Below are 24,842 nucleotides of genomic sequence, written 5' to 3'. Positions count from 1 at the left end.
AAATTCATCAATAATCAGTAGCATTTCTGACCTTCTAAGCACTCCTTGAAGTGTAGAAACCAAAAATCTGGCAACTACATTTTTCAGATTCTCTTGCCAACAAATATCTCTGCTTAGATTCTGCCAATTAAAGGCAGACCTGTGAGAGCTGAAAGGTGAGATCGATGGAGAAGCCATTATTTTCCACCAGCAGCTACAGGCAGGAGTATGGTGCTGTCAGGTTGTTGGATGTGGCAGCAGTTTCCCTGAACTGCTGAATTTCCTGAAAGCCAGCAGTGGTCTTCTGACTTTCACACACTTTGCATTTCCAAAATCATCAAGGCCTCAAATTTCTTGTTTTGAATCTTAGCTACACACAGTACATAAGAGGCTTCTGTTTTCCCGACCAAGTCCCGGAAAAAAAGAAAGGAATGGAAAGGAGAGGAGAGGAGAGGAGAAGAGAGGGAAGGGGAGGGGAAGGGAGAAGGGAGGGGAGAAAGGAGGGGAGAAGGGAGGGGAGAAGGAAGGGAAGAAGGAAGGAGAGGAAGAAGGAAAGGAAGAAGGAAAGGAAAGGGCCAAGAAAACCTCCCTATAGAAAGGGACACTGTAAACAGAAGTGAAACATTTTAAAAGGAGGTATTTATATAATGGAAAACATGCACTCTCTAGAAAAAAGAAATCCTACAAGTCAATAAGAAAAAAAAAAAATAACCTAAAACAAAAACATGGGCCAAAACCAATTTCACAGTAGAGGGAAGTTCAGCAGAATAAAAAAATGCTTAACTTGATAGGTATTAAGAAATGAAAAATTCTTTTTTAGTTTAAAAGTGTGGTGATTAGGTTTTCACACTCGTGTGAGCTGTGCCTTCCTCAATTCTTTTTTAGTTTAAAAGTGTGATGATTAGGTTTTCACACTTGTGTGAGATGTGCCTTCCTCAAACCTTGTTACAACGTCTGCACATTACCCATCGGACATGGAAAGAAAAAAGAAATGAAAATGGAAACCCAAATAAGATGCTATGACACCCTCACAGAGTAAATACAAGTTAGAAAGCTGTACAACACCAAGTACTGATGACAATTTGCAGAAATTGAAACTTATAAACTTTGGGGAATGTAAATTGGTAGTCACCTAGAAGATTAATTTGGCAATATCTAATAAAATTCAATTTCTGGATATATTTAGATTACACCAACTATACATTTAGGCCAAATGCCCAATGCTGATTGGTTTTGACCAAGTTAATATTCAGTCAAAGATGAACATCACCAACCTAGAATGTGGTACAAATCTATGATGTACAGGATACAAACTTAGCCCGTTTAATATTACTTACTAGATTATGTCTAACAGATTAAAATTTAGGAAAGTCTGTCAGTAATGTATTTTCTAGTAAGAACTTTATATGTAGGAATGAAAGCATCTGCCATTAAAAAAAAAAAAGATCCTTTTATCTTAACTCCTGAAAGCAATTGGAAATGCATAGTAATAATTTCCACAAGCTTTTTTTGCTTAAATTCTTAATTTCCATAAACTAAAAACTGGAAGGGATTGTCTTCTTAAAGCATTCTTCTAAAGTTGTAGCTTTAAAGTTTGATTTTTGTATAGTTTGATTAGTGAGAAATACATGTTGTGTCAAATTTGTTTTTATTAGTTCTATTAATGAGAAAAAGAGTATAACTCTTCTTCACCATTTTCTTTTTTTCTTTATTCCCTTTATATTCTTTATTATATCTCAATCACAGAGGATTATTGCAGCTGTTGTTTGTTATCTTGAAGTATTCCCTGTTCGTGAATTCTGAGGTGGCACAGTTGACATTCTGCTTTATAGTTAAATTCCAGAGTATTTAATGGTCAATGAAGATATGTTAGTTTTATGTGGCAATAGTAAAAACTTCCAAATTGCTAAATACAAAAAGAAATAGATTGTTAAAAAGGAAATTGGGAAAGTATGTTAGCTAAATACGTTAGAGAAATATGCTTGCCATATATGTTAATAAAAGTTGATATAATGAAGTTGATATAAAAGTTGATATAAATGAAGAGGTCTTCACTTAAATATAAAGAATTTTAAAATAGGATGTTTTCTTGCAAGACTCATGGCCAAAATGGAATTTAATCACCAAATATTAAATATAGTTCCCCCAAATTATTCTGCCTAATATTATGAATTAAGTTCACCAACAATTCTATAGAGGTTAAAATTATTGCATAATAATATAATATTCATGTCTCCTTGCATTATATCAACTTTTATTAATATATATGGTTTTGGCAAGCATATTTCTCTAATGTATTTAGCTAACATACTTTCCCAATTTCCTTTTTAACAATCTATTTCTTTTTTTATTTAGCAATCTGGAAGTTTTTACTATTAGCACATGAAACTAACATATCTTCATTGACCGTTAAATACTCTGGAATTTAACTTATAAAGTATATATTTATGTTTTAACTGAATTAAAAAAATAAAGCAAGTAAGAGTCTTTTTAAGTTACTTAAAATATATTTTATTACATTTAAAAATGAATTTTCACATGTCACTTTTATTTTTAAATGATGTAAATTATTTGTATTACTGGTAGTGTTTTGCTAGTAAGGTATGACATTACCCTATGTGAATACATAGTTACTCATAAACAAATTGAGAGAAATTATGTTGAGGTCAAAATTTTACTATTTATCTTTTAGTAAGCCAAGACAGAAGTTAAGTAATTGATTAGGAGATTTTGGTTGAATCTTGAGGACAAAGTGAACTTTATATCTTTAAATAGTGCATGCCCTATAAAAACACGTGTACATGTGCAAAAGGAGACATAGAAGTATAGCATTTTCATAGCAGTAAAAAATTGGAAACAATATAAATGCTGCAAAATCAATTAGTTTGGGAATATGTCACCAACGGAATACCACAGAGTAGTTAAAATGAATACAATGTGTTTGTGTGTGTGTGAGTGTGCGCATGTGTGCATGCCTGGGTATATAATTATAAAGATAAAACGCAATACCAGGCAATAAATGAAGCCACAGAATTTTTAAAACCATTATATAATTTATAAAATGTATGAACACTTGCAAAACACTATATATTGCTCATTGATGTATAGATATGTAATAAAAAATATGTGCAAGAATAATAAACTGAATTAGAATATTTGCTAGCTCTCAGGGAAGAAACAGAGAAAGACTGGGGAGGAGTACAAAAGAATCTTTAACTTGTTTTGTAATAATAATATTAACGTGAAGATGAATTAATATGAATGGTAATCTGAATATTAATCTGAATTAACATTGATTTGAGTCTGACACAACTATGATACAAAACTAGAATCTGATAGAGCTAGTGGTTGAATTTGTTGTCATCCTTTATATTTTTTTGTAGATTTCAAATAACTTACAAATATATTAGATATCTTTGGAGAAATATGCTACACGGTGGCAGGAAAGGAATGAAATCTCAGTTTAAGGTATTCAGAAAATCAAAAACATCTAGGTAATGGGGATTATCAGTTCATTTTTGTTCTAGAAATTTTCATTTCACCAGCGTATAAAATTTCACAAGCAGTGTTGAATATTTATAGCATATACGGTTTTTCATACACATCTTTATTTAATTGTCAGTTTCAAGTATTTGAGCTTTTCAATGAAAAGACTAGCAGCTGAACGTTTCCATAAAGATAAGACATTTCTGCATATTTATGAATAAGCAACAATAATTCCACCAATTTGGACAAAATTATGTTGTGCTTTGTAGCTTATATACTATTGTCCATGTGCATTTTCAGCTACAATGCAAAATATTATAAATTGTCTTAATTTACAAAGAATATATCCATTTTACCTCATCACCAGCAATGCCCAACCACATTTACAGAAAATTCAAATTAAGGAAGGATGAATTTGGCAATAAACCTTGAAAACAGAGCTTGATTTCCATTTTTATTTTGAGAAATGATATATGGTAAAACTCAAAATACATTGCATCTTGAATGATAAACTGAATATTATATCTGCTGGAAGAAATGCAAACTTGTAATTTTTGAGCAAAGACGTTTAAATGTAGTATTAAGTATGCAGATCCATGCAAAGTAATATGTTCTGAAATTTTAAAGTACTACTTCTGCTGTTTCTTCTGTGTTTGAGAGACTGACCTGTTTGACTATTTTTTCATTGCATTTCATTATATATGTCATGATTTGAGTTAATGACTGCTAACCTCTTTATGGCTATGTCTCTGATGCTGTTTGCATGTTCACCCAAATGGGGTTATCATAAATTGAGATATTCAGGAAATTCTTGAAACTATTTTTAAAAATGGTCTCTCAAATTTCAGTTTCTTATCAGCATTACTTTATTTTTCAGTTGTCTCCTAGAAATAATTGTTTCTAAGAATCCACATTCAATCATGAACATTACTGAGCATTACTGAGCATCTAGCCTGTCTCAGGATTTGTGCTAGATAGGTACTGTGAGAAAGAGGGAGGGGAAAAAAGGAAAGAATTTCAGCTATACAAAAACAAGGAAAAGAAACAATCATTGCAAATGAATTCAAAGGTACAAATAATTCTATGATTTAACAGAGGAGGAAGTGATTAAGACCCCTTAATAGAGACTAGGAAAGACTCCTAATGTTCTCTGAGAGATAATGTTTATCTCAACTCACAGAAATAATAGGATAAACTTAGTACTTAGAACTATACAAGTTCTTGTGACTTTATGTATGTTGTGACAATCTAGAAAGTCAATGATGCAAATTAGTGATTTGACACAAGTGAGCTAATATACACTTTTTTGCTTTCTAATTCAAATCTAGATTAATTTGGTCAAGAATCTATGCCTATAAAAGTTATGTAGATCTCTTTTTGATCACCATATAATTTAGGACACAAGTAAAAGTTTTTTTTCTCCAGCATTTTTGTCTTAAGTGATTTTCCTTATTCATAAAACTATCTAGAATATTCTTAAAGGTTTTCTATCCTCAGAAGCTGTAATTAATATAAGTTTTCACCTAATTGTCCTTGGTGTATTTATTACATCATTTACCCTACATTTTTATATTTTGCAAAATATTAAAAACAGAAGAAACTATATAGCTACGGCAGCTTAGATTTTGATTTGTTCATATCAGGTTTGGTTTATCTTTTGAAGTGTCCTTTTCCAGTTCCTTCAGAATCTTAATTGTGTTGTGTTAAGACTGTTGGGATTTTTAGCATTCACCTTTATTAACTTTACTTTGAATATGCAAATGAGGTATTCAGGATGCAGATAGATTCTTATTAAGTAATATAATGATGATGATGATGTCTGTGTCAGCTCTCCTTTCACCTAGTCCTTACTCCTGGGGGCAACACCATGAATACCTAATGAAAAAATCTTCTACAGAAGTGGCCAGGGGCTTCATAGACAAAGGAAGAAAAACAAATGAGCTTATTCTGCTGCTTTCTCTCTCTCCTCTCCTGGAAGGTGGGAGAAAAACCTATGCTCCTTGGAGATTGGATGGAAAGGATCATGTGTTCTTACTCTAACCTTTTGTAATGTAAATATATCTATTTAAGGGACATATTAATCTCCCATATCTCAAACTTTTATAACCTAGAGATTTCTGTAAATTTCTGGGCCTCATTCTTCATTGAAATGTAAACATAAACCTTCCTCACAGTTACATAAATTTCTCTGGAGTTTTCTCACTATTCATACAGTTGTAAATTAACTTCTCAAGTGTCGCTCTTAGCCCAGGATCTCAGTTTTTAGCAAATTCATTCAGAAAGCCCCAACCCTGTAGAAACACAGAAATATTATCTCTACATCTCAGAATGACAACACGTGGGAAGCCTCTATTTTTTTTCCTGTGAGAATTTCTAAGAACTGTGCTTTTTCCGGAGAAAGTAGAATATAAAAATTTAGAGTTCATCAAGCTGATTAGTATATTAGCTTGATAAAGTATATTTTAAATATGAGAGTATTCACTTTCTTCTAAGGTTATACAACTAAAGCAGTCCAGTTATATTTGCAATTGACATTATTTGTCATTTGGCTAGTTATTATTTCACATATTTTGTCTTAATTTTAAAATGTTGATGATATGATCTTAATAGTTATGTTGATCAGTAATGCAAAACCCAATTCTCTGCTCACACCCCTTCTGACGCCATATATGTATGTTTCTTCCTCGCACCGACCAATTATCCAGCTCTCTGGTGTAGGGATAGAAAGATGTGATACCTTTCGTCACCCTCATATGTGTCATGCTGATATTCCTATTTGACAAGAGAAAAGCATAATAAATTTATTGGATCATGGTTTTATATGACATGGGAGCCTTCAGAAATAAAGACCCAAAGAACCCGTAAAAACTGTCTGTTTTTATGCTGCGGTTCAGTGATGAATGGTCAGCTACGTAGAAATGTAATTGGACATAAAAGGTATAATCTATCAGTAATAGATTGAGAATGGGAAACCCAGCAAGCCTGTTTGTTCAAATTCTTCTTGACCTCTTTATGGAGCTTTCCTTTCCAGGGTATGGGGCAGGACCCCTATGGAATGAGGGTTTTCAAGGGAGAAGGAAGAAAATGACCTTTCTAGGTTCTGTGGCTCGCTTTGGGGGAGAGGTTTTCTAGTTTTTATGATGCATCTTGGGGAAGAAGAATTCTGGCTTGTATGACTAGCTTTGGGAGAGAGAAAGTGGCAGAAGGGCAGAAGAAGGGCAGAGAGACCTTGCTTCTGAGGCCTTCTAATCACTTTTCATTCAAAGCACTCAGCATGCCAAAGTGCCATACTTTGGAGTATATTGTTCTGAGCGCCAACACTTGAAACCGACTTGATGTCTGGTAATTCAATTCAATTCTAACACTACTTGCAGTTAATATAGACCCCACAGTTTAGGGGCTCAATCCGACAAGAATGCCCACACTTCAGATGCCAATTGAAAATCTAGGCCTCTTGTATTTCTGACTGACGAGCTATAAATTGGGGTTTCCCATAACTTCCTCCTTGAGTTTGATAATTTGCTAGAATGCTCACAAAACTCAGGGAAACATTTACTCACCTTTATTGGTTTATTATAAAGGATACAAACGAAGAGCTACCAAAGGAAGAGGTACATAGCTGAGGTCCAGAAGGGTCCCAAGTGCAGGAGCTTCTGTCCCCATGGAGTGGGGATTTGGGGTATATCACCCTTCTAGCATGTGGAGGTGTTCATGAATCTGAAAACTCTCAGAACCCCTCTGTCTAAGATTATTATGGAGATTTTATTACATAGGCATAATTGATTAAATCATTGCTCCTCAGTAATTGACTCAACCTTCAGTCCTTCTCCCCTCCACGGAGATGTATGTATATGACCCGGCCATGGGGACGGCACTGAAAGTTCCAACACAACCTTCTAATCATATGGTTGGTTTCTCTGGCGATAAGCCCCCATCCTCCAGGAACAACTTCATTATAGAAACTTAGGTATGGATGGCTTATGATAAGTAACAAAAACTGTACTCTCACTCTTATCACTCAAGAAATTCCAAGACTTTTAGGAGCTCTGTGCCAGGAATCAGGGACAAAGAACAAATATATACTTGTTGTTATATCATGGTATCACTCAGAATCTACTATTAACTCTAAATCACTTGAAGCAGACAGGAAGCTTAGTACCACAAGCCATGGTAATTATATAGACCATGGGGTATCATTGATAAACTTCAAAAACACAACACATTTTAATTTTCAAGAAAAAAAAAGGTCTGCATGGTTGTTGTATGATACGAAAATTAAATATGGTAAGGGCAATATGACTAAGAATAAGTATGTAATCATCAAAAATAGTAAAGGAAAGGAATGATTTGTATAGATTTAAATCCTCCTCCTAAATTTTGCCTTTAATCAATTTATATTTTTGTCCCAGGTTTTGAACTCTCACACTGTGAAGATCCTGGCATTCCACAATTTGGATACAAGATCAGTGACCAAGGCCACTTTGCTGGTAGCACCATCATTTATGGATGCAATCCAGGCTACACTCTCCACGGAAGTAGCCTTCTCAAGTGCATGACAGGGGAGAGAAGGGCATGGGACTATCCTCTGCCTTCCTGTATTGGTAGGATACTGTCATAGATTTTCATTGAATATTTCTGTGAAAACTTTATCAAATTCTTTGCATTTTTAAGAAATTCTTTCTGTCCTCATAGAACTAACACTTTATATCGAGAAATTAATGAACTCATAGCTTGAATTTGTCAAAAGAAAATTAATGGAAAATGAAAAGGTCCTTTTCATAACTTTATTCATTATTCCTCCCATAATCTTCTAGTTTGTGGGGGACAATATGGTCTCTTTGAAGTCATTTTATTTCTGCTACCTCGACATAAAATGGAACTCATTACTAAAATGTTAAGACTTTTAATTATACACATTTATTGAATTGCATTGGCCAGATTTTTTTAATTTACAAAATTATTACCTATTGTGGAATCAAGGTGGATTAGAGAAAACAGTAACCTATTCTCTTTTCTCATGCATGTTACAGCATAGCACTCAATTTCAGTAGGAAAAGGAATGTGAGAGTGACATAAGATATATTGCTTTCGTGAAGCTAGAGAATGATCATTTTCTGTCTTCTTTGCATAGCTGGGGTACCATTTTATTCCTACCATCTTGTAGATTAGTTAATGCATAGATGGGTAGGTGGGGGTGGGAAGGTAGATAGACAAATATTGACAGGTGTGGATAGAGATCTCTCTTTTTCTCTTTTTCTTTTCTGCTCTAAAGACCAAGTAGGTGTCAGATTGGAATACTAGGACAACAAAGGAAAACAACTTTGTAGCAAAACACTAACTCTCCAGCAGAGAACATATATGCAGTGATTCTTCAGCCTTTCTTTTTTTGATGGCATTTATAGAGGCAGAAATCCATTCTGTGTCAGGCCTATATGGATAAAATTGACTCAAATCTTTTATTTTTAGAAGGTGTACTGAGGTATAATTGATATACAAAAAACTACACATATTTAATGTGCAATTTGACTTACCTTTTAAGACCTGGACCTTTTGACAAAAGTAGAATATTTCTGTCGTTTTTTGATGTGGTCAGCATAGGAATTGCCATAAAACTTGCTAGAATACAAATAGAAAATATGAAATTCTAGTTATTATAGGCCTTGCAACTAATTGCGTAGTGGTTTTGATGCTATGAGACCTCTGTTGGTTTATTAAAACATTGATTCATGCAGAAAACAACATGGTTTTATCTAACTAAAATGCAATCACAGTTCTTACTTTTCAGACGGCATCTGAATTTTGGAGAGATTGTGAGGGTGATACCTAAAATAATAATCAAATTAAATTGCCAAAAGCTGGAATATGATCAATAATCAGCCCATTGGCATTGGTTATGAGAAAAATGTACCACTGACTAATTCTCTCTGATGTGATTATGAAATATGTTCAGAAAAGCTTTAAGAGTTTAATAGCACAATACCATAAATGTATAAATATTGACTTGCCATGCTGTTTTTAAAATTAAAACCACAAACAAATACATTAAAAGCATATATATTTTTATGTGTGTTGAAACAAGCTGAAGATATTCTCTACTTTTTGGAAAGGTTTTATACAAATGGAAGGATATTTAGTATGAGATCAGAAGGTTTTAATTATGTTCGCAGCAAATCAATGCATTTTATGTTTACAAGTACTCAAAATCAAAACATGTTGACTTGATATTGCACAAGATTTCACAGGTAGGGTAATCTTCTTTATTAAAATTCTAATGATGGATGATCAAATAAATTTAGCAGCTATAAACAGTTGGACATATGGTGAGTGATACTGAATAATTTGATGATAACAGAAGATGAAATTCTATTTTAGATGGTGTTCTCTACTCGCAATGATTAATAGCTTTAACACTTGGCCTATGATTATAATAGCCTGTGCTCATTAACCTTAAATATCTTCTACAGCTATGTTTTAGCCTCAGTCAAATAAGGAAACTTTTCTTAATTATTTAGATTACTTATAGGTAATTATATTTCTGAATCTTATTCATTGATGAAACAAAAATTAGTTTTTGAGGCACCATAGCTGGAAGGATTTAACCTGTATCTCTTCTTTAAACACTAAATTTCATTTTATTCTGCAAACATAAGTTTTATATAGAATATGAACTCCAGTACTACAGCATATGACACTGGCTCATTTGAGGTCAAAAATGCCAGGTAATATTTTATAACAAAGAAATATGGGGGGAAACAGCTATGTTTAAGTTCAAGATGCAATATAGTGCAAAATTCTCTAATTGACTATAAATTAATCAAGAAGAATAAGTATCAACTCTGTTCTCAAATTAAATGTAATCAAATAGTGATAAATCATAAATAAATGATGAAAAATGAATTAATACAATTATGTTTACAGATTGTCCAAAAGAATTTTTGTTAGAAAAAAATGAAAAACCATAAATGGTGATAACATCTTAAATACTAATATCTTTTTAATTTAAAAATCTCCCGAGTGTGTTATTGTAAATTAGATTAAATTAATGTTGCAATAAAAGGTAATATTCCCTTAGCCCTCCATGGGTATATCAGTCAGGGTTCTCCAGAGAAACAGCACCAATAGGATATCTCTCTTTCTCTCTGTCTCTGTCTCTCTCTTTTGTCTCTCTCTCTCTGTCTTCCTTATCCATCTATCTATCTATAGAGCTTTATTTAATTTAAGGAACTGAATCATGCAATGGTGGGGGCTGATAAGTCCAAAGTCCATAGGGCAAGTTAATAGCTTAGAAACTGAGGCAGGAGTTGCTGAAGTTTTGAGAAAGAATTTCTTTTTTTTCCCCCCAGGAAACTTAGTTGTGCTCTTAAGGTCTTCAAATTTATTGGATGAGGCCTACAAGTCAACTGAGTGTAGATGTTATCCATACCTATAAAATAGTTAATTAAATAACTGGCACTAATAGCCCAGCCAAGTTGACACATAAAACTATCCATCACAGTTTGGTGCAATATAGTATCTAAAATTTTTAAAACAAGTTAACATATATGCAGCCTACAAATTTGAGCCATTAGATTCTAGTGTTATCAGGTCTCTTCCAAATGCTAAAACTTTCCTGCTTTGACCTTCTTTGGTCTAATAATAATAATAATCAAAAATAAAAAGTTTAATTCAGTTATTTAATCTAAGATAATAGGAAAGTTGTCAGAATCAAAATGGAGTCACTTGTTTTAAAAACTCTGACAAACAGAGCTGGGAAAGCCATAAGGGGAGGGTTCTCATGCACAAGTGCCTGATAACAAGAACTATCACAAAAGATTCAAATGTGTAAGGCATTCCACAGTGTTTTCCTTGTTTCTAGGGTTTAAAGACGTAGAGCAATATGCTAACTAAAATACTTAGTTTCTCTCTTTTCCAGTACAGAGACTCTTTCTAGGTTGTTCACTGACGTAAAATCACTCCAGTTATCACAACAGTATTAAATAGTATTAAAATGGAGAAGGAATCCCCTAAAATATAAAATTTTAATTATATTGCATGACGATACTCACATTCTTAGTTTGATAATTTTTATAAAAATTAGAGACCACATTAAATCAAAACCTAACTAGATTTTACTGAAGTAAGGAATCTAATAAAAAATGCCATTTTGACTTTTGGGAGAGTACAAGGGAAAGGGTTTAAAATGATTTAAAGGGGAAATAAAAGGACAATGAAATTTAGAAGGCCTGAGGGACTGCAGTAAAGATTAGTTTTTCTCAAAGGCGGGGTAGCAAGATGATGAATTATTCAGCCTGCAATTTGTTAGCAGTGAGCAACTTGCCATCTGTTTCCCTTTTAAAATTATCGTTATTTAACAACACATCTTAAAATGTTTGGAATCCTAACTCAGAGGTTTTGAGTGTGTCTTGTTTTAATTCTTTAAGTAGGTTTCAGTTTTGTTGTCTTTTTTGTGCTCTAACTTGAGACTCTATTATTTGATTGTATTATATATTCTTGCTTCAATTGATACTTTAAAAGTTTATACAAATGTATACTTTAAAGAAACAAGAAAATCAGTATTCTTTTGTCTACTCATGAGAAATTTGTAGATTGTTTTGAAAAGATTGGCATTAAATTGTGGCTTAAATTTCTATTATTTTTTATCAGCTGAATGTGGAGGTCGTTTTAAAGGAGAATCATCAGGAAGAATCTTATCTCCTGGCTATCCTTTTCCATATGACAATAACCTGCGTTGCATGTGGATGATTGAGGTAGATCCTGGAAATATTGTCAGGTAAATGAATTTCATTTTCTCAACATTACTAGGGAATCTGAAGTGCCTAACCAACCCCTATATAAAATTAATATCCATTTATTTCATTTTTTGTTTGTTTGTTTTTCTTGAGGCAGAGTCTTGCTCTGACATCCAGACCGGAAGGCAGGGCTCGATCTCGGCTCACTGCAACCTCCTCCTCATAGGCTCAAATGATCTTCCCACCTCAGCCTCCCCAGTAGGTGGGAATACAGGCATGTGCTACCAGGCTAGGCTAATTTTTAAATATTTTGTAGAAACGAGGTCTCACTATATTGACCAGGCTGGTCTCAAAATGTTGGGCTCAAGCAATTCTGCCTCCCAAAGTGCTGGGATTACAGGTGTGAGCCACTACACCTGGCCCATTTTGACTGATATACAGAGTTTTGCAAATTATTACCCTAGTGCATCCTCATTAACAATTAGGAGAAATAAGAATAGAAGGGGACTGAATACCATTTCCTGTTGTCCTTGTCCCTAAACACATTTGTGAAACACTTGCTCTCTGCCCATGTAATCATGTTAGATTTCCCTTTTCCGCAGAGTTCCTCACATTGTTACTACCCCTTAGATAAGTACAGAGTCATTATCTCAAATCAACACCAGTCTGACTTCCAAAGCTATCACAGGCTCTCAGTCCCAGCCTTACTATGCAGCTTTGGCTAGAATCATCCTTGACATATGAGCTACTTGGTGTGTTTTCAATAACAAACAATAACTTTAAAACTTAAGAATTACTACTTATATAAAGTAGTAATATAAATTCCATTTATATACAATGGAATTTCAGACAGGCTTCTAGGTGGTATACTACTATGCATTGATGGATGCAGTGTGAGTTGGTACATTACTTTTGCAAGGCAATGTGCAAACTGAAAATAGACTACACTATATCATCCCCAGTTTATTTTTCTTTAGTCTAAGTCGTGCATTGTTTTATATAAATATTATTAAACTTGAAAGTAATAAATTCACCAGATTTCTGCAATTTCTAAAAATTAAACATTATTTGATGTTAAATTGCAACTTAAATTTAAAGCTGTAACGATTCATGTATCAAACATAAATGTATTGTATGTAGAGTTGAGCATGTCAATATAATTAGATTTCTAAATTTTGCACCAAGCACAAAAAGCACCCGATTCTAATTTTGTCTAGCTTAAACTTAAAACAGAATAGATTTAACATGAAACGTGGCAAAAGCATGTACTGTAGAGTCAGAAAACTTGAGTTCAATTTTTGACTATGCCACTCTTTGGGAAATTATTTCATTTATCTAAACTCCATTTGCCATATTTGTAAAATTAAGATAAAAATTATTCATATTTCATTGGGTCATTATAACAATTAAACAAATAAAATATATGTAACGCATTTTGCACAGTGCCTAGCATGTAGAAGATTATCTATAAATGTCCCCTGCTGTTGCCCTAGTTAAATCCATGAACACGGGAAAGAATGTATGCCTGAAGTTTCTACAATTTGCAAAGGTGATGTAATATTGTATTTAATAATATTCTAAAAAAACAAATTATATGTCTCAAGAAAAATATATTAAGAATATATGCTGTTTATGTAATTCATTTTTAACACATAGCAAAAAAGAACTATCTAGTAAAAGGCATAATGCACATTTGTTCTATTTTTTCTTTAAAGTTGAATCCTTGTTTAAAATAATCAGAGAAATATGGTTCTCCCACAGCTTGCAGTTTCTTGCTTTTGATACGGAAGCATCACATGATATACTCCGAGTCTGGGACGGTCCACCAGAAAATGATATGCTTTTAAAGGAAATTAGTGGATCTCTTATTCCTGAAGGAATTCATAGCACCCTCAATATAGTAACCATCCAGTTTGACACGGATTTTTATATTAGCAAATCTGGATTTGCAATTCAGTTTTCAAGTAAGTTTTTTCAAAAAATTTCTTCAATGCAAAATAGGAAGGTGATGTAAATAGTCATGTTAACTTTACTGTTCAAAATTTTAATTTTAAAATTTTAATGATTTTAAATATTCGTGTTTCTAGTCTTCCTATATTTCTGCAGCAAAGGTAAAATATACATGGGAAAAAGGTAATACAACTAACTTTGAATATTGATTGTTGAGACTTCTCTCCACCTGTAAAATCATTTATTCTTAAAGTAAAAGTGGTGTTAAATTACTCAGCTAAAAAAAAAATTACATCACAAAAGCTTATAATCTGGAAATAGTATAAAAGTAGAAGTTTTAAAATATGAAGTTTTGCAGATGAGGAAGGAAATGACTACTTGCTATTACAAAAAATACAACCCTACATTTTTCCTGTTTTTTAAAAATTATCTAAATATCTTAATTATGTATTCACAGACATCTTTGACAAAATATTTCAGATGGCTTTTAAATTAAAGATTTTCTATAACAATAATATGACAATGAAATAGCATTCCTTGTAAGTAATTACCAGTGTTCTTGTCTTGCTAATTTTTTTCTTCTCATGGCACTGCTAAGTGGCTAAATATATGTTGTTCTGTAAAAGAAATTTTAGTTTAGTTGATGGATAAAATGAATAAAAACTTAAAATGTTTAAATGCTGTTTTAACTTGTTAATGCACATTATCTCTTTGAGAAAATTATCTAATAGATTTTTTATCTGTATAGTCTTAAAAAGTCCTATTAACAGAAATGTGTCAATGTTTCTATGATCAACTATGAGTGAAAACCAGTACTCTTCAAATGTGTCGGAATTCAAATTCTGGCTGTTTACTAACTGCTAATTTTGGGCACGTTACCTAGTGACCCGATACTGGGTTTTCTAATTGACGTAGGAATAACAATGCTCATCTCATAAATAAGTTATTAAATCTAACAGAATCATGTGTGCACAGTATTTGGTATTGAGTAGATAACTGGTACCTAATGAACTATTATTTTTACATAAATAAATGTAACATTGAAATGTCTTGAAAATAAATAATACAAATAGTTTAAAAAAGTATGAAGGAAGGACTTTTGAAATCAGTGCCAACAAAATATACCGTTTTAAGTAAACAATTATACAGTTAAACAATTGTCTTGGCTGACTTTTTGTTTATGGAACACAATTATTCTCCCTACTAACACAAACAAATTATTTTGTACTATATGACCCAAGTTCATGTGAAAGAGAGGTATAAACTGAAAAGTCAATATCTCTAAATTTGCACTTTAAATATATATTTTGAGAAAATGGAATAAAATAAGAAAATAATCATATAATAGGTGAATATAAATGGCTCCGAATTAGAAAACATTTACCAATGAAATATTCTTCATATTTGTATATTCTACTCTCTACTGTTTATTTTTTTAAGTGGGAACAATTTGTCAGAGAGCGGCTTAATTTTAGTTATTTCTATTGTAGTTTAGCAATAAACAATTCTTGCTTTTACTTTAGATTAGTAATACATAGTGTTTTCCACTTAAATTGTTATTGCAATTAAATATCTGCATACAGTAATATGGAAAGGTGTCTCAAGCTCAGTGTTTGCAAATGCAACTTACACTTTACACTCAACCTTATCTGGTTAAGTGGAAACACACTATTTTAGATGCATTTCTGGGAATTTTTATTGTAGATAATCTGTGAAAATAGCAGTACATTTTTATATTTATTATATTTGTAGGGCACATTAAAGTTATAGAAACAATATATTTCATACTAGAGCTTTAATAACTCTGCCTTCATAAGTTTTTTTTAAGATGAATAGAAATTTGATCTGAGCCTTAAAATCAACCTATTGAAATAAAGTTACATTGATGGTTACTACATTGTGAATGAAAAATTAACCTCTTGGCTAGAGATCTTTTCTAAAACATGTGCTTACACAGCTTTTCAAGTGTTCAGATTTGAAATGGGAAAATATTCTTTTCATGAATGAAGTCTTGATGGGTGCCAAGAATCAAGTTAAATGCTTTATATACATAATCTCATTTAATTCTCACAAAAGCCATATAAGATATGGTTATCATTCTCATTGCCCAAAGAAATACATTAATGTTCAGAAAGTCAGTTAATTTGTTCAAGATCATACAACTAGCAGATGCCTGGAGTGATAACTGAAACTCACATGTCTGAAAGGAGATTAATGTCATGCTTTGTACATACTAAATGCTTAGTAGTTATTATTACAGTATTATTATTCTAGATACATGCATTAATATGCCAGGGGGAATAGAAAGCTTTCAGTTATATATTATTAGCTGCAATGGAGTTCTACATTTTAATCAATTTGGTTTCCTGATTATAATTCCAAGCACCACATCAAAGGTCCCAATCTAAAAAAGGAGATGAAATATGAGTGAAACCGTGAGAAGAAATGGAGGAAAGCCGGAGTACATACATGCCCATCTGAAAGGGACAGATGCCCTCTCTGGTTCTAAGCATTTTGCCCTATAGGAAGACAGGAAAATTTTAAAGTGGAATTTGAAATAAGAAATTTTATCTAAAGTCATCTAGTTTCTAAAGTATACAAGTGGTATTAAAGAGAATGTAAATGGACTATAGGCCACTAAACAACTACCGTGGGTCAAACTTGGCTCGTGGGATCATGTTTGCCACTTCAGTGCTTTACCTAAATTATTCTTCCCTAGATAAATCTATTTCATCCTACCCATTCATTCATATGTTCATCCGCTAATTCATTCACTCATTCATCCTAGGAGAGTCTAGTAAGAACCAGGTATTAAACATATTTATCACTAATTAATTCTCAAACTCATCTTTTCATTAACTCAAGCAACTCTTAATTTCATACACTCTCTCTCTCTCTGCTGCTTTCCATCACCAAACCTTCTTTTTTCTTTAGTGTTAGTTCTGCTCCCATGTGCTTAAATTCTGCTCATTCTTCCAGACTCTGTGCCAAGATCCCTTTTCAGTAAAATATTTTCTTACTATTCTAGCTCATGCTCCTTCCAGTAGTTGTATTTCTTTTTCCCCAAATAAAGACCAGTATAAAAGGCGTAGCAATTCATTGTTCTAGAAGTTTTTTGGTTGTTTTTTGTTTTTTTAGAGTCAATGTCTTGCTCTGTCACCCAGGGTGCAGTGCAGTGGCACAATCACAGCTCACTGCAACCTCAACCTCCTAAGTTCAAGCGATCTTCCCACCTCAGCCCCCCATGTAGCTAGGACTACAGGTGTGCACCACACTTCACTAATTTTTATTTTTTTTTTGTACAGATGAGGTCTCATTACGTCGGCCAGGCTGGTAATGGTATTTTAATTATGGTGCCTTTGCGCCCCCAAATATATTAATATCATGGATACCTTTGTCTCTTAAAATGTCTATATAAAACACATATTTTGTACAGGGTGATAATATAATTTACTATCCAAACTTAAGGTATTTTGGAGATTAAAAGCAAGTGCTAATAAAAATTAAGCTCAGCAATAGGCACAAACCAGGATGCTCCTACAAAATCAGGAAGTATTGTCGTTTTAATTGTCAGATTTTATTTGAGCCCCCCTTCCCCGATTAGTACAATTTAATTCCATTCTTCTTTTGAGCAAATAGCTGTCCATTGAAAGTCAAAATAATTAATTAAAAATAATAAATCAGGCAATAGTAGCAGAACAGTCTTCACCAATGAATGTAACAGGTGATACGTGTTTCCCCAAACTTGGTGCAAAGTAAATTTAACAGAAATGTAGGCCACAGACCAACTTGATAATCATCAAGCCACTGTCGGCAGCCTCATGACTTTTATTTCATGATCCATTCATCCTTTGTAGAGTCTGTTGCTTTATCTCTTGGTGTTATTGTCTGCAAGGCACTTTTGCTTAATCAGAGCTACTTAAGTCTAACATTGCCACTTCACGCTGTCCTATGTGCTGTCCTCACTTCTCAGTAGTCAGCTTCTATATCCTCTGCTTACATTTTAATCTGCCTGTCTCATTCCACTTTAGTTCCCCAGGGAAGATATCATTGGGTATCATGCTGTCATTTGCCCACAGAATAGTAGATTCTGACAGAGCATTTTCTATGCTCTTCACTCTTTGACCTCTCTGTTGAGAATCTTCCCCTGCTGGGTAATACAAAATGCTGAGGCCCGTAGCTAATACTGTTGAAAAATCTCAAGGAAATATATCCCTTAGCCATGAGAGGTTGAAGTTCCCCAGCTTTAACCAATTGCATGGTGCCCCTGCCTTTGTTCTCATCCTTATTATTGTTCCCTGCACTGCTCTAACAGTCGACTAGCCACTCACTTCTTTATCCCTCCAGCAAAACTTTTCTCCACATTTCTACCTGACTGATCTTTCCGAAATACAAAATTGGACATCACTTCTCTGTTGAAAATTATTTAATGGCCACACAAATCTAAACTCAACACTTTGGCATGACATTTAAAGCCTCCAGAATATGTCCCAACCTACCTGCCAGCTTCACTCCTCACTATTCATTTATATACATCCAGAGGTCTAATTAAATTGTCCTGAAAGGACAATATCGTCGCACGTTTCTACTGCTTTGCAAACTCTCTTCCATATTCCTGAAACACTTGTACCTACATTCAAAATTTGTACAATTTTAGTCATTTTCCAGGACATAGGCTAAATGCTACTTCTAGTAGCAATGAACTACTAGACAGAATTACTTATTTCCATTTCCACATATGTACTGCTCTTCCCTGGTTTACTAAGGACAGTCCTTATTTATGCCTGTTGTCCTGGCATTCTGACTGTGTTGACATTTATCCTGTATTTTCCCTTTTTAACAAAGTATCACTATTAGTAGTTCATTAAAATAAGCCACAGTGTATTTATTAGATCCCCGCTTTGTGACATAAGTTTGCAGTGCTCAGTAATTATAATGCATGGTTACATCTGAAAGACAAATACTATTAGGTTGGTGCAAAAGTAATTGTGGTTTTTGCCATAATAACTTGTATCTATTTCTCAACTTTTTCCAGATGCCAGGTGATTAACACTTACCTTTCAAGGATAGAACATAGGACACTTAGAGATAAAATGAAGCATTCTTAGATATGAACAGGTCACCCATTCTGACCCTAGATGGTGGTGGGAAGAGCATTTATTATTATTATTATTATTATTATTTTTTTTTTTTTTTTTTTTTGAGATGGAGTCTCGCTCTGTCGCCCAGGCTGGAGTGCAGTGGCACGATCTTGGGTCACTGCAACCTACACCTCCCGGGCTCAAGCAATTCTCCTGCCTCAGCCTCCCGAATAGCTGGGATTACAGGCGCGTGCCACCAGGCCCAGATAATTTTCTATATTTTTAGTAGAGACGGGGTTTCACCATGTTAGCCAAGATGGTCTCGATCTCCTGACCTTGTGATCCGCCCGCCTCAGCACCCCCAAGTGCTGGGATTACAGGCATGAACCACTGTGCCTGGCCAGGAGGAGCATTTGACATTGTTGCCCTGACAGATATTTTGTATAACAGATAGTTATGCTACAGCATGTATTGTGGTTTGAATGATACGTAAGACTGCCAGGCCATGAATTGGCAGGATTAGGGGGAAATATGGGAAATATGTGTTCTTGAAGTATGTGTAGAAATAGAGACTGAGCAGTTGATTTACAGACCTACAAAATATAGCCTGAATACTCATGCCACGAGTATATATGCTGTTTATTTTATTGTGTAAATTTGGAACTAATTACTTTATCATTGAAATATGCTTTATTATCTTGCAATAGACCTTTATGGCAGCAATGAGATTTTAAAAATTAAATGTTTAATGAAAAAGTTTGTACTGAACATTCATTTCTTAAGAAAGCTGATATCCACTAAGATGTCCAAAAGGAAAGTCAGTTCTGCTGAAGGGGCTGTCAAGAAACACCCAAGCAGAGATCAGCAAGGATTCTACAAAAACCAATCCTTGTGAAAATTGAAACGAAACCAAAAAGATAACAGAAAATGATCCAGAATAGTTTTTTAATCACTATTTGTAAATCCAAGAATTTCATACATCCAGAAACAAATTTTTTTAAAAAGCAGAGAGTAGCACATAATCCCATTTCAATAAAACTTATTTAGATAAGTGATAAAACTTTTTTAAGAGGGAAAATCATGCACTGATCATTTATTTAGCTGTGTGAACAGAAATTAGTAAAACATTGAATTAAATGAAACACTATTATTTTGTGTATCATGTTTACATTTTATAGGCTAGTGAAGAGGGCAGTTTTATTAATATATGCCAAAATATGGATCAGATTGAATGGTTATTTGAAGCCATAATAATGCATTAAATACATCCTCATCATTTTAAAGTACCTGATATATTAAATATGTGTTAATCATTTTACAGTACCTATCTTCAACAGCCACATTATTTTTATTTCAATTTATTTTACTGTGGTAAGAACAATTAACACGAGATCTACTTTTTAAGCAAATTTTTAGGTGTAGGGTACATTATTTTGGTTATAGGTACAACACTATATAGCAGGTCCCTAAAGCTTATTTATATTGCTAAACTGAAATATTATGCCAGTTGATTAGTAACTCTCATATCCCATCTCCCCTAAGCCCCTGGAAAAAACCATTTCAGGCTCTGATTCTATTAATTTGGCTATTTTAGATACCTCATATAAGTGAAGTCATGCAGTAGTTGTGTTTCTGTGACTGGCTTATTTTATTTAGCATAGTGTCCTCAAGGTTCGCTCATGTTGCTGACTATTGCAGAATCCTTCTTTTAGAGACCAAATCGTATTCCACTGTGTGTCTTTCCCATATTTTCTTAATCTGTCATTAGACAATTAAGTTGTTTCCAACATCTTGGCTATAGTGAATAATACTGCAATGAACTTAGGAATACTAATACCTCCTCGAGATCCTCATTTTTATTATTTAGGATAAATATCTAGAAATGGGATTGTTGGATCGTAAAGTAGTTTCATTTTTAGATTTTTTGAGGAACCTTCATAATATTTTCCATAGTGGCTGGCACCATTTTGCGTTCCCACCAATAGCATGTAAGAGTTTCTATTTCTCCATATTCTTGCCAACACCTTTTTTTAATAAATAATAACCCTCCTGACAGGTATGAAGTAATATATTATTGAGATTTTTATTTGCATTTCCTTGAAGATTAGTTATGTTAACCATTTCTTTATATACCTGTTGTCCATTTGTATGCCTTTTTTATAGAAATGCCTATTCAAGACCTTTGACTGTTTTTTATCAGTCATTTGCTATTGAGGTGTAGAGGTTCCCTATGTCTTTTGGATATTGATCTATTATTAGATGTATGGCTTGAAAATATTTTCTCCCATTCCATAGCTTGCCATTTCACCCTGTTGATTGTACAGAAGCTTTTAAGTTGGATGTATTCCTGCTTGTTTATTTTTGCTTTCGTCACCTATGCCTTTGGTGTCATGTCCATGAAATCATTGTGAATACCAACGTTATAAAGCTTTCTTCTCTTTTTTTTATTTCCTTCTGGAAGTTTTACAGTTTCAGGTCTGGCGTTTAAGCTTTTAATCCATTTTGAGTTGATTTTTGTGTAGGCTGTAAGATAAGGGTCTAATTTCATTTTTTGCTTCTGGATATCCAATTTTCTAAATACCGTTTGTCAAGGAGACTATCCTCTCCCCTTTGTGCATTCCTGGTACCCCTCCACCACTGTCCACACCTTTTTGTTGCCCTGTCTTATGGTGTGGACCTGTTACCGTTTCATAGATTTATTTCTGGTCTCTCTATTCTCTTCCATTGTTCTATATGTCTCTGTTTGTGCCAGTACCATACAGTTTTGATTATTGTACTTTGGTAATATATATTTGAAATGAGGAGGTCTGATGCCTTCAGTTTTTTATTCTTTTGCAAAACTGATTTGACTATTCAAGTTATTTTTGGTTTCATGTGAATAGTAGAAATTTTTTTTTCTATTTACAATCCATGAACAGAGGCTGTTCTTCCATTTGTTTGTATCTTTAATTTCTTTCATTATTGTTTTATAGTTTTCAGTATACAAGTCTGTCACCTCCTTAGTTAAATTATTTCTAAGTATTTTATTCTTTATGAGATTATTTTAAATTAGATTGTTTTCTGAGTATCCTTTTCAGATAGTTCGTTGTTAGTGTATATAGAAACACAATTGATTTTTGTATGTTGATTTTGTATCCTGAAACTTTATTGAATTTATTAGTTCCAACAGTTTTTTTGATAAAGTCTTTAGGATTTTCTATATATGAGATTGTGTCATCTGCCAGCAGACACTATTTTACCTATTTTTTTTTTTTTTTTCATTTTGGAGGCCTTTTGTTTTTCTTTCCTAAACTGCTCTGGCCAGGACTAGCAGTACTATGCTGAATAGGAGTGGGAAGTGAACATCCTTGGCTTATTCCTGATCTTGGAGGAAAAGTTCTCAGTTTTTTTTTTTTTCCAGACAGTATGATGTTAGCTGTGGTCTTTTGATATATGGCCTTTATAATGTTGAAACATTTTTCTTCTTCTATTCCTAATATATTGAGGATTTTTTTTTAAGAAAAGGCATTTAATTTTGTCAAATGCTTTTTCTGCATCTACTGAAATTATCATGTGATCATGTGATCTTAATCCATTATTCTGTTAATGTGGTGTATCAAAATAATTGATTTTTGTATATTGAACTATCTTTCTGTCCCAGGAATAAATCCGACTTGGACATTGTGTGTGATCCTTTTAACATTTTAATGTGCTGTTGGATTTAGTTTGCTAGTATTTTGTTGAGGATTTTTGTACATGTATTCATCAGAAATATTGATCTCTAGTTTTTTTTCTTGTGATGTATTTTTCTGGCTTTGGTATCAGGGAATATTGCCTTTACAAAATTAATTTGGAAATTTTTTTGTTTGTTTTTGGTTTTGTTTTGTTTTGTTTCAATTTGCGGGGGTTGGTGGGAAGAGTTTGAGAAGGATAGAAATTAATTCTTATTTAAACGTTTGGTAGAATTCACCAGTGAAGTCATCTGGTCATGGGCTTTTCTTTGTTGGGAGATTTTAAAATACTGCTTAAATGGCCATATTAATAATGAGTCTGTTCAGGCTTTCTATTTCTCATGATTTAGTCTTGGTAGACTGTATATTTCTATAAATGTGTCCACTTTTTTTCCTAAGTTATCCAGCTTGTAATCATATAATTGTTCAATATAGTCTCTTATGTCTCTTATTTCTGTAGCATTATTCTTTCTTTTCTGATTTTATTTATTTTAGTCTTATCTCATTTTTCTTGGAATAGCTAAGGGAATCTCAATTGTGTTGAGATTTTCAAGAAACCAACTCTAGTTTTATTTTTTAATTGTTTTTCTATTTTCTATTATGTTTTTATATTTTCTTTAATCTTATTTCCTTCCTTCTGCTAACTGTGAGCTTCTTTGTTCTTCTAGTTCGTTGAAGGAGAAAGTTAGGTTATTTACTTGAGACATTTTTCCTTTTTATGTAGGTGTTTATTGCTATGAACTTCTTACATAGTCCTGTTTTTTCTGTTTCCCATGCATTTTGGCATATCGTGTTTTTGTTTCATCTTGAGGTGTTTTCTATTTCTCTTTTTTATTGGTATGTAATAGTTGTACATATTTATGGAGTACAAGGGATATTTTGATACACGCATACAATATGTAATTATCAAATAAGAGTAACTGGAATATTCATTATATCAAACATTTGTCATTTCTTTGTGTAGTACATTTTAAATATTCTCTTCTAGCTATTTTGAAATATAAAATAAATTCTTATTAACTATCATCACTCTACTGTGCTATTGAACAATAGAATTTGTGCCTTCTGTATAACTGTATTTTTGTACCCTCTTCATCCCATTGGAATGCTGCAATTCCCAGTATCTAGTAACTACCATTTGACTCACTACCTCCATGAGATCAATTTTTTGTTAGCCCCCATATATAAGTGAAAACTTGCAATATTTGTCTTTCTGTGGTTGGCTTATTTCACGTAACATAATGTCCTCTAGCTCCACCAATGTTACTGTAAATGACATGATTTTATGTTTTTCCTCCCCGTGGCTGAATAACATTCCATTGTGTATATATAGCACATTTTCTTTATCCACTCATCAAATGATGGTTGATTGAATACCTTCGTTATTGTGAATAGGGCTGCAATAAACATGCACGTGCAGCTATCTCTTTGATATACTAATTTTCTTTCTTTTGGATAAATACCCGGCAATGGTAATGCTGGATCATATGGTAGTTGTATTTTTAGCTTTTAAGGGAAACTCCATACTATTTTATATAGTTGCTGCATTAATTAACATTCACACCAACAGTGCATGAGCATTCCCTCTTTTTTTTGCATCTTTCTCAGCATGTTATTTTCTGTCTTTCTGATAGCCATTTTAACTGGCGTGAGATAATATCTCGTTGTGGTTTTGATTCGCATTTCCCTGATTATTAGTAATGTTAAGCATTTTTTTCATTTACCTGGTAGCCATTTGTATGTCTTATTTTGAAAAATGCCTATTCAAAGCATTTGCTCATTATTAATTGGATTATTTGTGGGTTTCTTTTTGTTTTAGTTTGTTTTGTTGTGTTTTTTTGCTATTGAGTTGTTTTAGTTCCTTATATATTCTGGTTATTAGTCCCTTGTCAGATGGGCAGTTAGCA

At 33.1% G+C, this 24,842-nt stretch overlaps 1 protein-coding gene and 1 non-coding gene across 10 annotated transcripts in view; both read left to right on the top strand.

Moving 5' to 3' along the window:
• CSMD3 (CUB and Sushi multiple domains 3) overlaps positions 1–24,842 on the top strand; it is a 1,214,012-nt gene that overhangs the window by 872,111 nt on the left and 317,059 nt on the right. For all 9 annotated transcript variants that reach the window (NM_001363185.1, XM_017013010.2, NM_052900.3 and 6 more), the window contains 3 exons: positions 7,875–8,066; positions 12,109–12,235; positions 13,956–14,158. In NM_001363185.1, the coding sequence (NP_001350114.1) occupies positions 7,875–8,066; positions 12,109–12,235; positions 13,956–14,158 (522 nt within the window). The remainder of the gene's footprint in view (positions 1–7,874; positions 8,067–12,108; positions 12,236–13,955; positions 14,159–24,842) is intronic.
• On the top strand, positions 853–954 carry LOC124902087 (small nucleolar RNA U13). The gene has a single exon (XR_007061217.1). It is a non-coding gene; the product is annotated as a small nucleolar RNA U13 (small nucleolar RNA).

Source organism: Homo sapiens, chromosome 8, assembly GCF_000001405.40.
Source record: "Homo sapiens chromosome 8, GRCh38.p14 Primary Assembly".
Lineage (NCBI taxonomy): Eukaryota > Metazoa > Chordata > Mammalia > Primates > Hominidae > Homo > Homo sapiens.
The sequence above is the reverse complement of the archived record's forward strand: the minus strand, read 5'-3'. Positions and strand labels throughout refer to the sequence as shown.